This window comes from Homo sapiens, chromosome 16 (genome assembly GCF_000001405.40).
Source record: "Homo sapiens chromosome 16, GRCh38.p14 Primary Assembly".
In the NCBI taxonomy this organism is placed as follows: Eukaryota; Metazoa; Chordata; class Mammalia; order Primates; family Hominidae; genus Homo; species Homo sapiens.
This window is the reverse complement of record NC_000016.10, coordinates 53,175,707-53,192,832: the sequence shown is the minus strand read 5'-3', so window position 1 is coordinate 53,192,832 and position 17,126 is coordinate 53,175,707. Positions and strand designations below refer to the sequence as shown.

Genomic DNA, 17,126 nt, shown 5'->3' with positions numbered 1-17,126 from the left:
AATATAACTCAGTAACATGAAAGAAAAAGCTATTGATACAGGGAACAAAAATGTTCTATGCTAAACAGAAGTCAGACTAGTAACACAATATACTGCATGATTCCATCCATACAACATTCTCAAAAATGCAGAATTGCAAAGAAAAAAATTAATCATTGGTTGCCAGGGTCTAGGGTTAGGGGAAAGACTGAGTGCAAACGGGAATGAGGGAATTGTGGGGATGAGAGCAATAATCTGTGTCTTGATTATGGTAAGGTTATAGAACTGTGCACATTTTTCAAAACTCACAGAACTATATGACACAAAAGATGAATATTACTGGATGTAAATTATTTTCCAATAAACCTGTCTAAAACAAAATTACATGTTCTTTAGGCTTCCATTCTCATACTAAGAAGCTAATACCACTAGACTTCTAAATCTAGGTTAATATCTTGATATTTATTCCTTTCCCTTAATCCCAGTAGCTACCCTTGAAGTCCTGTCCTATGACTGTTATTTAAGTCTCTAAATAGTACCTATTCCTAGATTTCTGGATGCTATTTCTTCACTCATCTGTTTTCAGGAGTCGGTGTTGTATGTGGCTTAGTCCCACACAATTAGACTTCTTTCTATAATCTACTGCTGGATCTTCAAACTCCTACTTTAACTCTCCTTCCCTGTTCCAAACACAACATAATAAACACACGCATGTGTGCAGGCACATATACCTCTTTTATAGGTCTCAGCCATGTTAGAGACATTGACTGTTTTTTTTTTTTTTTTTGAGATGGAGTCTCACTCATTTTTGGTCAATAAGCCCATGAAAAGATACTCAACATCATCCATCAGTAAAACACAAATTAAAATCATAATGAGATACAAATACACATCTAATCAATGGCTAAATTTAAAAAGACTGACAATACCAAGAACTAAAGAGAAAGGAACATCTGGAACTCTCATACACTGCTGGTGGGAATGTAAAAGAGTACAACCACTTTTGAAAGGTCACAATTTGTTACACAGCTACACATAAACTTGTGACCCAGTAACCCCATTCTGACAATATTTACCCAAAATAAATGAAAACATATATCCACAAAAAGACTGAACTTGAATGTTCTTAGAGGCATTACTCATAATAGGCATAAATTAGTAAAAACTCCAAGTGTCCATCAAGAGGCATATGAGTAAATTGTGGTGTATCTATAAACTGGAAAGCCAATCAGTCATAAAAAGGAACAAACTACTGCCTTAGACAACATGACTGAATCACAAATGCCTTATGCTGAATAAAAGAAACCAGACTCAAAAGGCTACAAACTGTATGATAACGTTTACATAGCATTCTCAAAAAGGAAAAACTATAGGAGCAAAAAACAAATCAGAGGCTGCCAGCAGTGGTGGTTGAAAGAGGTAGGAAGAAATTTTGAGGGCTGATGTAATTATTCTTTATCTTGATTACTGGTGTAGCTACTTATATGTATATATCTGTCAGTTAGAACTGTTCACTAAAAAGAGTGACTTTTGACTGTGTGTAAATTATAACTCAAAAAAAGAAAGAATGAGAAAGAAATGAACTGATACATGAGAAGACATAAATGTTTAAAATAATATAAATGGTGAAAAAGCCATAAAGAAAAAAGTAGGTACAGCATGATTCCATTTATATGAAATTAAAAACAGGCAAAACTAATCTATAGTGGCAGAAAGTAAATCAGTGATTGCCTGGGGCCAGGGATGGGAGGAAGACTACCTGCAATGGGGCATAAGGAACTTTTTAGGGTTATAAAAACATTTTATATCTTAATTGCGGTAATGATTACCTAATTGTATATATTTGTCAAAAATCATCAGATTACACTTAAAATGGGTACATTTCATTGTATGTAAATTATGCCTCAATAAAATTGATTTTAAAATGTACTTACTAAGTGGACATATGTAACAGGATTAATTTTACCCTGACTTATCTGTTTAATAACTCCTCTTCTTTTATTAGTTTTAATTATTTGACTACAAAGTAAAATTAGATTATATTATACTAATTTCTATAATTTATGCTGGCCTGTTGTTAGTGGCAGATACTCAATTTAGAAAATATTTGCTAATAACCTATTACATAGAGGTACAAAAAACAGACTCTCTGGGAAACACACCAGAGATATGGGGAAAATGGTAAATCAATATAAACTAGAGGGGCAAGGAAGACTTGAAAGTGTTCTCAGAAAATAAGCTAATTTTTATAATGATGAGATAATAAGATATTCAATGGAGGAAGATAAGCATAACCAAAGGCATAACAAGTGAAATAACTGTGTAGAAAAAAATTTCGTAAGTTATATTCCAGGAAATTGTGAGATATTAAAACACTCAGATTCATGTAAAATTCTGAGATGCAGCCTTGTATTTCCTCCTCCTTGGCGCGTCATGATAAAGCTTAACATATTAAAGGCTCATTCTCAGAGTCCACAGAGAACGAGCAGAAAATGAGCTTGAATGGATTGGGTAGCAAAACTATAAAATTTTTGATTCTCAGTGTAGACAAAAACAACTCTTTTATATCTTTCAAAACCCATTTTATTTCTTCTAGTATAAAACGTTTTTAATTGAGAAAGAAATTAGGTTTGTCTCCACCCACCTCTACCATCTGGAAAGAAAGCCATATTGTAAACTGCTATAATCTTACAAATAGAGAGATTTAATCAGTAATTTGCTCTTCAATGGGAAAGGTGATATTAAGAATAATTTGGGGACCAATGTGGACCAGAAGTTTGTTGGTTCTGTTCTAGTTTGGGAGGTAGGGTTGGGGGAAAATCATGGTTCAATGTGACATTTTTAGAATACTCAAAAGTATTTTAAATAAGAGGTTGAGGGATAATAAATGTAATATTAAAGTGTATCCCCATAATATAGATGCAAAAAAACAAGTACAAAAGTACTTAAATGATTACAGGTCACATATACTGTCAACATTAGCTTTCCGTCTATTTTGTTGATCTCAAATATTTGAATAAAATATATCTTCATTTATACCTCCGCTATCATCCTGTAAGACATGGAAAAAATTGCACAGTCTACAAATGCACTAAAGTCTGATAAAAGGCTATAAAAATATTTTGCTAATTGTTCAGTTTAATGCAATTATCCAGGATGACCCATTAAAGCCAAAATACAAACACAGCAAACGCTAGTACAAATCATAAATTCAAACTGCAGAGCAGTATCTTTTGCTAATACAGACACAAATATTTTCAACAAAATAATAGCAAACCTAATCCAGGAAAAAAAAATATATATAATACATATATATATAGAGAGAGAGATACATACCATCGACAAGTAGGATTTATTTTAGGAGTGCAAGGCTAATATCTGAAAATCATATCAACAGAATAAAGAATAAAAACTAAAATGATCACAAATAAAAACTAAATGCGATGAAGAAAAAGAATCTGACAAAGTTTCAACATCTTTTCATGATAAAAACACAAAACAAACTAGGAATAAAAAGAAACCTTTGCAACATAATAAAAGGCATGTATGAAAAACCCACAACTAACATCATACAGTACTTAATGGTGAAAGACTGAATGCTTTTCCCTAAGATCATGAACAAGACAAGGTTATCTACTCTTGTCACTTCTATTCAACACTGTTCTGAAAATTCTAGTCAGGGCAATTAGAAGAGAAAAAGCAATAAAAAACACCTAGATTGGAAAGCAAGAAATAAAATTATCTTTAATCTTTATATTTGGAAGCTACGATCTTTCAAATGAAAAAAAAACCCAAGGAAATCTGCAAATCAAATATCTGATGTCAAGCTTTTTCAATTTAAAAAACCTGATAAGAGATTTGTATCTAAAATATATAAATAACTCCTACAAATCAGTAACAAAAATAAGTAACCCAATTTAAATATGGGCAAAAGATCTGAATAGACATTTCTCTAAAAAAAAGATACAATGCTAGGCACGGTAGCTCACGCCTGTAATCCCAGCACCTTGGGAGGCTGAGGTGGGCAGATCACCTGAGGTCAAGAGTTTGACACCAGCCTTGCCAACAAGATGAAACTAAAAATACAAAAAATTAGCCAGGCGTGGTGGCAAGCACCTGTAATTGCAGCTACTCGGGAGGCTGAGGCAGAAGAACTGCTTGAACCTGGGAGGTGGAGGTTGCAGTGAGCCGAGATGGTACCACTGCACGCCAGCTTCCATCTCAAAAAAAAAAAAAAAAAAAAAAAAAAAAGGTAATGACCAGTAAGCCCATGAAAAAATGCTCAGTATCATTAGCAATCAGGGAAATGCAAATCAAAACCACAACAAGACATTACTTTATACCAAGATGGCTACAATAAAAAAAAGACATAAAAACAGGCATTGGCAAGTATGGAAAAATTGGAACCCTTATACACTACCTGTGGGAATGTAAAATGGTACAGCTGCTCTGGAAAAATATAAAAGTTACCCAAAAGGTCAAACATAAGAAAGAATTATATAATCCAGCAATTCCATTCCTAGGAATATATGCAAGAGAAAAGAAAGCCTGTATGGGAACATTCATAGCAGCATCATTCATAATGGCCAAGAAGTGGAAACAACTGAAATATCCATCACTAATAAATGAATAAAATGTGGTACATATCCATACAATGGAATATTATTTGGCAATTAAAAATGAAGTGCTGTTACATGCTACAACATATATGAACTCTGAAAATATTATGCTAAGAAGCCCATCATAATCACATTATTTCATGACTCCATTTACTTGAAATGTTCAGAATAGGCAAATCCATAGACAGAAAGTAGATTGGTGGTTGCCTAGGGTTAGGGTGTTAGGAATAAATTAGGAACGACTGCTAACAGATGTGGGATTTCTTTTGGGAGTGGTGAAAACATTAACATTTGAAACACTCATTTCTGCTTTTCTTACATTTTAATATTCAAGATTACTCTTTTTCCTTTCACAACCAGACATCTCAAAACAGTAGACTATAGCTGATATCCTGATTTTCTTACTACTTATAAATTCCCATTGATTTAATTCCTGTTCCTCCATAATATACAAAAAGTCCTTTTCCCAAGGTCACCAGTTACTTCTTATAGTTATTCAATAATCTTTTGTTTTTCCCCTCCTCAATATCTTTTAATTTTTGACACTGTTGCTCATCACTTTTTTCTGAAACCTGTTTCTATGAATTCAGGAACATTACAAAGTCTTAAATCTGATTATCTTTCTTTAATTCCTTGGTTCTTCTTTATTCATTATGCCTCACAAATGCAGGTTCCCCAAGACTCTGGCCAAAACTCTCATTTTCTCACTCTACACTTTTTTTTCTTTTTCTTAGAGGCAGGGTCTTGCTCTGCCCAGGCTGCAGTGAGTGGTGTGATCATAGCTCACGGTAACTTTGAACTCCTGGGTTCAAGAGATCATCTCACCTCAGCCTCCTGCTAGGACTACAGGTGTGTGTCACCATGCCCAGCTAATTTTTTAATTTTTATTTTTGTAGAGACAATTTTGCTATGTTGCCCAAGCTGGTCTCAAACTCCTAGCCTCAAGTGATCTTCCTGCCTCAGTCTCCCAAAGTGCTGGGATTACAGGCATGAGTGACTGCACCTGGCTTCTCCCTCTACACTTTCTTCTTGAATTATCTTGTCTCATAGCTTCAACTATCACTTATCACTTTGTTGTTGATACTCTCGAAATACACATCTTCTGAATTCTAGTTTTAATTTTTCCACTGACTGTAGACCTTCTCCACCTAGTCATTATTAACTCTGTTTTGTTCCATTTCAAAACTCGTTTAATCTGGCATAGATTTTATTGTGGATTTTCCCTCTCCAAGTCTTCACTTGGCATTTGTATTAGTCTGTTCTCCCACTGCTATAAAGAACTGCCTGACACTGGGTAATTTATACAGGAAAGAGGCTTAATTGACTCACAGTTCTATAAGGCTGGGGTTGGCCTCAGGAAACTTACAATCATGGTGGAAGGGGAAAGAAAACATGTCCTTCTTCATGTAGAGGTAGGAAAGAGAAAGTGAGGGCCAAGCAAAGGGGGAATCCTCTTATAAGACCATCATCTTTTGTGAGAACTAACTCACTATCACAAGAACAGGATGGGGAAAACCACCCCCATGATTCAATTATCTCCACCTGGTCCTTCCCACAATACATAAGGATTACGGGAACTACAATTCAAGATGAGATTTTGGGTGGGGAAACAGCCCAACCATATCATTCTGCCCCTGGCCTTTCCTAAATCTTATATCCTCACATTTCAAAACACAATCATGTCTTTCCAACAGTCCCTCGAAGTCTTATTTCAGCATTAAATCAAAAGTCCACAGTCCAAAGTCTCATCTGACACAAGGCAAGTCCCTTCCACCTATGAGCCTGTAAAATCAAAAGCCAGTTAGTTACTTCCTAGATACAATGAAGGCACAAGCATTGGGTAAACATATCTGTTTCAAATGGGAGAAATTGGCCAAAACGAAGGGGCTACAGGCCCCATTCAAGTCCAAAATCCAACAGGATGGTCATTAAACCTTAAAGTTCCAAAATGATCTCCTTTGACTCCATGTCTCACATCCAGGGCATGCTGATACAAGAGGTGGGCTCCCACAGCCTTGGGCATTTCCATCCCTGTGGCTTTGCAGACTACAACTCCCCTCCTGGCTGCTGTCATGGGCTGCTGTTGAGTGTCTGCAGCTTTTCCCAGGCGTACAGTGCAAAATGTCAGTGGATCTATCATTTTGGGGTCTGGAGGATGGTGATCCTCTTCTCACAGCTCCACTAGGCAGTGCCCCGGTGGGGACTCTGTGTGGGAGCTCTGTGACCCCACATTTCCCCTCCACACTGCCCTAGCAGAGGTTCTCCATGAGGGCTCCACTCCTGCAGCACACTTCTGCCTGGACATCCAAGCCTTTCCATGTATCTTCTAAAATCTAGGCAGAGGTTCCCAAACCTCAATTCTTGACTTCTGCACATCTGCAGGCCCAACACCATGTGAAAGCTGCCAAGGTTTGGGGCTTGCACCCTCTGAAGCAACAGCCTGAGCTGTACGTTGGCCCCTCTTAGCCAGGGCTGGAATGGCTGTAACACAGGGCACCAAGTCCCAAGGCTGCACACAGCAGGGAGGCACTGGACCCAGCCCAAGAAAACATTTTTCCCTCCTAGTTCTCTGGGTCTGTGACTGGAGAGACTGCCACGAAAGTCTCTGACATGCCTTGGAGACACTTGCCCCATTGTCTTGATTAACATTCGACTCCTTGTTATTTATGCAAATGTCTGCAGCAGGCTCAAATTTCTCCCCAGAAAATGGGTTACTTTTTTTTCATCACATCATCAGGCTGCAAACTTTCCAAAATTTTATGCTCTGCTTCCTCTTGAACACTTTGCTTCTTAGAAATTTCTTCTGCCAGACACCCTAAATCATCTCTCTCAAGTACAAAGTTCCACAGGTCTCCAGGGCAGGGAAAAATACCACCAGTCTCTTTGCATAGCAAAAGTGACCTTTACTCCAGTTCCCAACAATCTGCCCATCTCCATCTGAGACCACTTTGGCCTGGAATTAATTGTCCATATCACAATCAGCATTTTGGTCAAAGCCATTCAACAAGTCTGTAGGAAGTCTGAAACTTTCCAACATTTTCCTGTCTTCTTCTGAGACCTCCAAACTGTTCCAACCTCTGCCTGTTACCCAGTTCCAAAGCTGCTTCCATATTTTTGGGTATCTTTACAGCAGTGCCCCACTCTCTTTGGTACCAATTTACTGTATTAGTTTGTTCTCACATTGCTATAAAGAACTTCCCAAAACTGGGTAATGTATAAAGGAAAGAGGTTTAGTTGACTCACAGTTTCGGAGAGCTGGGGAGGCCTCAAGAAACTTACAATTATGGCAGAAGGGGAAAGCAATTATGTCCTTCTTCACATGGTGGCAGGAGAGAGAAAATGACAGCCAAGCAAAGGGGGAAGCCCCTTATAAAAGGGGCTTGTGAGATCTCGTGAGAACTAACTCAATATCACCAGAACAGGATGGTGGAAACTGCCCCTGTGATTCAAATATCTCCACTTGGTCCCTCTCACGACAGGTGGGGATTATGAGAACTATAATTCAAGATGAGATTTTGGGTGGGGACACAGCCAAACCTTATCAGCATCCAAGGCCTTCTACATGGCACCCATCTAACTATCTTTTAAACACCACTCCATTGTGGCTCATGTCTATAATCCCAGCACTTTTGGAGGCTGAGGTGGGAGGATCACTTGAGCCCAGGAGTTCAAGTCCAGCCTGGGCACTGTGGTGAAACCCCATGTCTACAAAACAAAAACAAAAACAAAAATTCACTGGGCATGCTGGTGTGTACCTGTAGTCCCAGCTACTAGGGAGGTTGGGGTGAGAGGATAGCTTGAGCCCAGGAGGTTGAGGCTGCAGTGAGCCATGAAAATTTAACTGCACTCCAGACTGAGCAACAGAGTGAAACCCTGTTTCAAAAACCGTAACAACAAACACAGTCTAAGACACAAATCACTACATAAACACATACATATGTATCCTTTCTTTTAGTGCCATATCTATCTCTTTTAGTGATTGAGATAAGATTAAATAGAATACTGTACAGAGTTTAGAACATAATAGGCACTCAAAAAATATTAGCCAGGATCACGAGGTCAGGAGATCGAGACCATCCTGGCTAACATGGTGAAACCCCATCTCTACTAAAAACACAAAAAATTAGCCGGGCGTGGTGCCGGGCGCCTTTAGTCCCAGCTACTTGGGAGGCTGAGGCAGGAGAATGGCATGAACCCAAGAGGAGGAGCTTGCAGTGAGCCGAGATCACGCCACTGCACTCCAGCATGGGCGACAGAGCGAGACTCCGTCTCAAAAAAAAAGAAAAAAAAAAAAATTAGCCAGGTACCTGTGAAAAACAATCTTGTGTGGATGGTACCAATATTATCCACATTTTATGAATGAGGACACTAAAGTTTGGAAAGATTAACAAACATGCCCAAGGTTACATGGCTGTTAAGTAGCAGAAAGGAGATGTATTTGCATTGTATTGCATTGTATTGTATTGTATTGTATTGTATTTTTTGTACAGACAGGGTCTTGCTATGTTGCCTAGGCTGGTCTCGAACTCCTGGCCTCAAGCGACCCTCTCACTCTGACCTTGCAAAATGTTGGGATTAAAGGCATGAGTCACTGTACTCGGCATTAGAAAGGAGTTTTAAACCCAAGGTTGCCTAACTCCAAAGCTACTATTTTGCTTTGTTGTTAATGTTTAATTATATAACATTTTTAAGACAGAGAAAATAAACTGACACTCATTAAACGGGAATAAATGTTAATATTTACCTTCTTTTGCTTCAAATCTCTGTCTTTTAAATAAATAACCTGTTACAGATATAACCATCCTCCCTGTTCCTTCCCCTTTCTCTCCTAGATGTTTATGGATATACAGCATTATGATGAAATTACAGAAACATATACTGAAAAGATGACAATGAAAAATAAGACAATATCAGAATAGTGGTTTGCTCTGGAAAAAAATGTCAATGGGCCTGAGGTTTTCAATGGTTATCCATAATGTTTATTTCTTAAAAAAAGGAAAGAAACAAATACGACATTTGTTAAACCTAGGTGGTAGGTTTCTGATGTTTATATACTACCTTCTACACTTTTCTGTTTTTGCGCAGCTACATTATTTTTAAAGTACCAACATATAAATTAATGTTGATTCAAGTGTTAGTATAGAAGCTGATATTTTTAAATGACTACATCATTTTGACTTTAACAGCTTTTAGAAAGTATTATGAAGGTGAATCGTTGTTGATTGTAATTGTTGAAAGGACATGCAACCTAAAACAAAAAGTTAGCTAATATATAGTCTCACATATATTCATATGCATTCGTATATTCACACATTCATACATATATGATATAAACTTAAAACACTTGATCTTATTGGGGATTTCAAATTCCACAAAATAATTTCAATGAAAAGTAAGTCTCTAAAACATTCATTCCTTTCTTAAAAGAATTAAGAATATGTATGAAATATCACTTAAAATAATTATAAAAATTAAATGTACTTTTTAATTTAATTAGGCTGGATTTCCTCCTTTTAGCTCAAATTCCTATGTAGATTTAAGTATTAAAGTCTGATTAGTGAAGTGTTTTTCTAAAACTCAGAAATATGGAAAAAAATTGGCTCATCTATAACACAAACCTGTAACTCAAACATACTATTGAAATAACAAAAATTGCATTCAAGATACTTTTGTATCAAATGACCCAGATCAAGAGTCCTTATCATACTCTTTTTCCAGATAGTGTCAATTTTCATGAAGTATCTTCAAAAGACTATCCTCTGAAGGTAAAATAAATTGGACTAACCAATGAAGAATAAAATCATTAAGTAAAAAATACATCCTGGGCTGGGCAACATAGTAAGACCCCCATCTCCACAAATTTTTTAAAAAAATCAGCTGGATGTGGTGGCATATGCCTGTGGTCCCAACTACTTGGGAGGTTGGGATGAGAAGATCACTTGAGCCTGGAAGATCAAGGCTGCAGTGATCCATGATTAAGCCACTGCATTCCAGCCTGGGTGATAGGGTAAGACCCTGTCTCAAAAATAAAAATAAAAATAAAGCCTTAAAAATCCACCAATTGTTCTGCAGTAAAAGCAAATACTATGACATAATGACCAGAAAACTGCCATGAGTGTGTGCATGCTTAATTAATCATGCATAGTAAAAATATACGAGATGGAGTTTTGCTCTGTTGCCCAGGCTGGAGTGCAGCGGTGCACTCTCGGCTCACTGCAACCTCTGTCTCCCAGGTTCAAGTGATTCTCCTGCCTCAGCCTCCCGATAGCTGGGATTACAGGCATGCACCACCATGCCTGGCTAAGTTTTGTACTTTTAATGGAGCTGGGGTTTCACCATGTTGGCCAGGCTGGTCTCAAACTCTTGACCCTAGGTGATTCGCCCAGCTCGGCCTCCCAAAGTGCTGAGATTACAGGTGTGAGCCACCGCATCCAGCCCTGTTTTATCATTTTTAATCAGAGATACTCATCCCTCAGTAACATTTTGAGGATTATTACTATCAACTAAATAAATTAAACAGTGCTTTAGATGTTAACTCATTCAATATCATGTTGAGACATTAAACTTGTGTTACATATAGAAAACATGTTAAAAAAGCACTTTGATTTGCCTATATGAAGCTCTCAAAAGTATATCCAAGCTACTCCAAAAAAAATTTAGTTTACACAGAAACTTAAAAATAATTCTCTTAGTTTTAACCTTTTCTGACATTTATATTGGTCTGCTCATTCCTATATGTAAGTTTCATATAAGCACTCTAATTTTTGCTTAAGTATATTACTTAAGCAAATTACTTAAATTACTTAAATTACTGTACCATAGTAATTGCGGTTCCTCAAAAAACTTTACATGACAAGTTTCACTTATTCTCACCTTCAATCAAAAGTTAAAATTCAAAAAAAGAAACAAAAAATTGTGGCTCTCGGCCAGGTGCAGTGGCTCCCATCTATAATCCCAGCACTATAGGAGGCCAAGGCCCGCAGATCACCTGAGGTCGGGAGTTCAAGACCAGCCTGACCAACATGGAGAAACGCCATGTCTACTAAAAATACAAAAATTAGCCAGGCGTGGTGGCACATGCCTGTAATCCCAGCTACTCGGGAGGCTGAGGCAGGAGAATAGCTTGAACCCGGAAGGCAGAGGTTGTGGTAAGCTGAGATCGGACCATTGCACTCCAGTCTGGGCAACAACAGCGAAACTCTGTCTCAAAAAAAAAAAAAAAAATCGTGTCTCTCATACTTATTAGAGATGCCTGTTTCAGGCTGGGCGAGGTGGCTCACGCCTGTAATTCAATCACTTTGGGAGGCTGAGGCAGGCGGATCACGAGGTCAGGAGATTGAGACCAACCTGGCTAACACGGTGAAACCCCGTCTCCATTAAAAATACAAAAAATTAGCCGGGCGTGGTGGCGGGCGCCTGTAGTCCCAGCTAATACTGGGGAGGCTGAGGCAGAAGAATGGCGTGAACCTGGGAGGCAGAGCTTGCAGTGGGCCGAGATCGCGCCACTGCACTCCAGCCTGGGCGACAGAGCGAGACTGTATCAAAAAAAAATAATAAATTTAAAAAAATAAAAAAAGAGATGTCTGTTTCAATAACCATACCACTAATAGAGATCAGAGTGGTGCTGATATGCACTTAAGAAATCCACAGTGCTGAAAATTAAATATATTCCTTCTCTACATTTCAATAAGTCTCTTCTTAAAAAGTACTGTCTCTATAATTCCCCTAAATACATCACTAAAAGTTTCAAAATATTTATAATCCTTGTCATATTTCTCTCCCCTGAAGATAAAATAAATTTAAGGAGATCCTTAGCATCGAACTTGCTGTCCTCAAATTATGCAAATCCTTTCCATTTACCCCAGTTTTAACCAACATTTTCCCAGAAGGAAAAACTAAATTGGGAAAGCACATTAAAACAAAGGTAAGGCCGGGGGCGGTGGCTCATGTCTGTAATCTCAGCACTTTGGGAGGCCGAGGAAGGTGGATCACCTGAGGTCAGCAGTTCGAGGCCAGCCTGGCTAACATGGTGAAACCCCAGCTCCACTAAAAATACGAAAATTAGCTGGGCGTGGTGGTGGGCAACTGTAATCCCAGCTACTCGGGAGGCTGAGGCTGAGGTGGAGGTTGCAGTGAGCCGAGATGGCACCATTGCACTCCAGCCTGGGTGACAGAGCAAGACTCAGTCTCAAAAAAAAAAAAAAAAGAAGGTAAGGTAACAATTCAAGAACTTCCTAGAGAAACTCATAATGACCACTGCTCTTCAAAGGGCACTGTGCTGATGAGAAAATATATAAAAATCTGTATGCCATGCTTAATTACTATTTTTTTTTTTTTTGAGATGAAGTCTCACTCCGTCGCCCAGGGTAGGGTACAGTGGTGTCATCTCGGCTCACTGCAACCTCTGCCTCCCAGGTTCAAGTGATTTTCCTGCCTCAGCCTCCCGAGCAGCTGGGATTACAGGTGCGTGCCACCACACCAGGCTAATTTTTGTATTTTTAGTAGAGATGGGGTTTCACCATGTTGGCCAGGCTGGTCTTGAATTCCTGACCTCAGGTGATCTGCCTGCCTTGGCCTCCCAAAGTGCTGGGGTTACAGGCTTGAGCCACTGTGCCTGGCTGCTTAATTATTAATTTTTTAAATGACAAAACAGTATGACTGGGTACAAGATACATTATTTATAATAGGCTTCAAAAAATAAACTGCAAATAATTCATTTTAATGTAATTTGACAAATACTTATTGATCCCCCTTTAAGATGATGCAGAGGGACATAAATATGTATAAGACAGGAGGTTAACAATTAATAAACATGGCTCCAACAATTTTAAATAGTGTTTTTAATTCTCATATAGTGATCAAAACTGATATTTTAAGAGAGCTGATATTTTAAGTGAAAATGATAAAAAAAAATTAACTGCTGGTTCTAACAACTGGGAAAACTTGAATTTGGATTAGGTTTTAGATGATATAGAATTAGCAGTTACCTTAGGTGTGATACTAGTTGTATAGAAGAATGTCATTCTTGGGAGATGTCTAATAAAATAGTTAGAGGTAAAGTCTCATGATAACTGCAATTTACTTTTAAAGCCAAAACCAAAATCTATCCTATATACACAAATAAAGCAAATACGGCAAAATCTTAACTATTGACTCTAAGTGATTCACATATATGTATTCATAAGACAATTTCGTTTTTAATTTTTTTTTTAGAAACAGGGTCTCGCTATGTTGCCCAGGCTAGAATGCAGTGGTTATTCATAAGCAGGATCATAGCACACTACAGCCTCAAAGTCCTAGCCTCAACAATCCTCTGAACTCAGCTTCTCAAGTAACTGGGACTACAGGTGTGCGCCAGTATGCCTGGCCCAATTTCAATTTAAAGTCCAGAATCCCAAGTACATATATAGCTTTGCTTTGAAGAAAACTTTAAAACTATAGTCATCCATAAATTCTTAAAAGTATTTAATAAGGCCAGGTGAGGTGGCTCATGTTTGTAATCCCAGCACTTTGGGAGGCCAAGGCAGGACGATTACTTGAGCCCAGGAGTTCAAGATAAGCCTGGGCAAGGCAGTGAGAGTCTCATCTCTACAACGAATAAAAAAATTATTAGCCAGGCATGCCACCACGCCCAGCTAACTGGGAGATCCCAGCTACATGGGAGGCTGAGGCAGGAAGATCACTTTAGCACGGAAGATCACTTGAACCCAGGAGGTCAAGGGTACAGTGAGCCATGTTTGCGCCACTACACTCCAGCCTGGGTGACAGAGCAAGACCTTGTCTCAAAAAAAAAAAAAAAAAAAAAAAGAAACCAACAAAAACAAGAAGTATTTAATAAACCAAAATTACTTGAATTGACAGAAGATATGGAGCCCAAAGTAGAGGTTGATTTCCATAGAGAGAAAATCATGATTCTGGTCACAGACAAACTATCCACATCTCTCACCAACTAACTTCACAAATCTGTGTCACTGTTCATGAAGAAAACACCGGCTTTTACATTTGACAAGATGTGTTCCTTCCCTGGGCTTCACAATTTAGAGGGTCTGGTTCTTTTGCCATAGTCCTCCTGGGGTCAAAAGGATATATCACCCTTCCCATCTTATGGAACATGCTCCAGGTCCCTGACACTCTGAAATTCTCTGCCCCAACAGTCTCATACCCACTTGCAGAACCTGCCTGAGCCTATTCCCTATGTGTGTTCTCTCAAGGATGAACTTTACTGCCAGTATGTGCATGCTTAGGCCAAAGAGATGGGGAGAAAAAGATGGCACTTACATACATAGCCTGAGAAGTTCATGTGTATTCATGAGGCCTCTTGGGGTTTAGGATGGAACCAGGATTGGAAAGACAAGTAGAATAGAGTAGAATAGCCTGCTTCTGCCAGATTCTGGATGTAGAACTCCAGAGAGTCCAAGAATGCTAAATTCAAATCAGTGCTTCCATTTATCAAGGATGAAGGAAAGAACATAGTTTACTGGCTTGATTTTGAACTTTCAAATATTTAGGCACACGGTAATGAGAGCTTTCATTTGTACTCTTTCCTTGAAACCAACAAAAATTAGGAGTAAGACTGCATAAAAATGGATTAAGAAATAGTTATGTAATAACAAGAGCAATAGAAAAGAAAATAGGATTAGGAAACCTCTTTGGATTATGCCACTAAAAGGCTATGTAGACTCTATCTGGGCCTCAGTTTCTCCAACTGAAAAATTAAAAATTATTAAATGATTAAGGCTCCTTCTAGTACTAAATTTAAAAGCCTTAATGTAAGGAATCATCATTAATTAAAAAATACTGGATCAAATCATGTCTTTTTCGTTTTTTTCCCTTTCAGATCCAGACGTACAAACAAATCATTACTTTTAAAATATTTTCCTAATACCTACTTTTCTCAAATCTGGGTTCATGCCTTAAGTCTGTGACTTAGAAGCTATAGTACCTAGAACCTAGTTTCTTCATGTATATATTAAGGTGTCGGCCAGGCGCAGTGGCTCACACCTGTAATCCTAGCACTTTAGGAGGCCAAAGCAGGCAGATCACTTGAGGTCAGGAGTTTGAGACCAGCCTAGACAACATGGTGAAATCCTATCTCTATGAAAAACACAAAAATTAGCCAGGCATGGTGGCATGTGCCTGTAATCCCAGCTACCTGGGAGGCTGAGGCAGGAGAATCACTGGAACCTGGGAGGCGGAGGCTGCATTGAGCCGAGATGGCGCCTCTGCACTCCAGCCTGGGCGACAAAGTGAGACTCTGTCTCAAAAAATATATATATAAAATTAAATAAATAAAGATGTCACCACTAACATCATTGGATTGTTGTGAGGATAAAATGTGATCACATAAAAAGTACTCAGTACAATGCCTGGCACAAAGCACCAGGATGGGGCTTACTAAATAACTGCTGAATGAATGACAATTTTGCTTCTTTCAAAAATTGCTCAGTTTATTTAAATTGTTCAAATATGCATTATTGGGAAATCTGGAACTATAAATTTCAAGTAACCCAACTCTAAATCACTTCACTCTATACCACTAAATAATTCCTAGCATAAGCAGAAGTGAGAAGAAACTGAGCAGAAAAGAAAGGTACTCAAATAGGCTTTTCATAATGTGAGGTCATGAGGTCATAAAGTCATAAATCAGTCCCTTGTTAATTTTTTGTTAAAGCAGCATCTTCTAATTGACCTTTATGGCTTGTTGTTGGCAGAATAATGGCCTGATTATTCAATGTATCAATCTCCTAATCCTCAAAACCTGTGAATATTTTAGGTAATATGGCAAATAATTCAAGTTGCAGATTGAATTAAGGTTGTTCATCAGCTGAGCTGGGAAATTATCCTAAATTATCCATGTAGGCCCGATGTAATCACTAGGGTCCTTATAAGTGGAAGACGGAGGAAAAACAAAAACAAAACAAAACAAAAACATTAGGGTGATACAACGTGAGAAAGACTTGACCAGCCATTGCTGGATTTAAAGACGGAATGGTGCCACAAGCCACAGAATGTGGGCAGCCTTTATAAACTGGCCAAGAAAATTGATCATCCCCTAGAGCTTCTAGAAAGGACTGCAACCCTATTGACATCTTGATTTTAGTCCAGTGAGATCCAGTTCAGACTTCTGATCTCCAGAACTGTAAGATAATAAATATGTGTTGTTCTAAGACACCTAAGTTTGTGATAACTTATTACAACAGCAGGAGAAACTGATACATGGTTGTAGGTTCCTTCCAGCTTCAATATCCCCATATTCTAAGGCGACAGACAGTAGTATGGGCCCCAGAGTCCTGCCTCCTATCTTTGAATCCTTGCTTTGCCACTATCTGTATGACTCTGAGCAAGCCATTTAACCATCCTATGCTTCATGTCCTTATCTGTAAAAACAGTAGATGATAAGATCTAACTCAGAGATATTGTGAAGATTAAATGAGAAAATATATGTAAAGCCATGAACTTGAGTATAATTGCTCAAAAGCAGTTACAGCTTTGTATAAATCTTCAAAGGAAAACTTGTCAGTTCATATC

The 17,126-nt window shown here is 38.2% G+C and overlaps 1 protein-coding gene across 37 annotated transcripts in view, besides 2 other annotated features; it reads right to left on the bottom strand.

The window, feature by feature from the left end:
• Window positions 1–17,126, bottom strand: part of CHD9 (chromodomain helicase DNA binding protein 9) — a 272,507-nt gene that overhangs the window by 134,665 nt on the left and 120,716 nt on the right. The gene's annotated exons all lie outside the window — the stretch shown is intronic.
• Window positions 9,102–9,396: an enhancer, noted in NCBI's record as "tiled region #10980; HepG2 Activating DNase matched - State 8:EnhW". NCBI's record gives its function as "activates a minimal TATA promoter and a strong SV40 promoter by Sharpr-MPRA in HepG2 cells {active_cell/tissue: HepG2}" and the evidence as "EXISTENCE:reporter gene assay evidence [ECO:0000049][PMID:27701403]".
• Window positions 9,102–9,396: a silencer, noted in NCBI's record as "tiled region #10980; K562 Repressive non-DNase unmatched - State 16:ElonW". NCBI's record gives its function as "represses a minimal TATA promoter and a strong SV40 promoter by Sharpr-MPRA in K562 cells {active_cell/tissue: K562}" and the evidence as "EXISTENCE:reporter gene assay evidence [ECO:0000049][PMID:27701403]".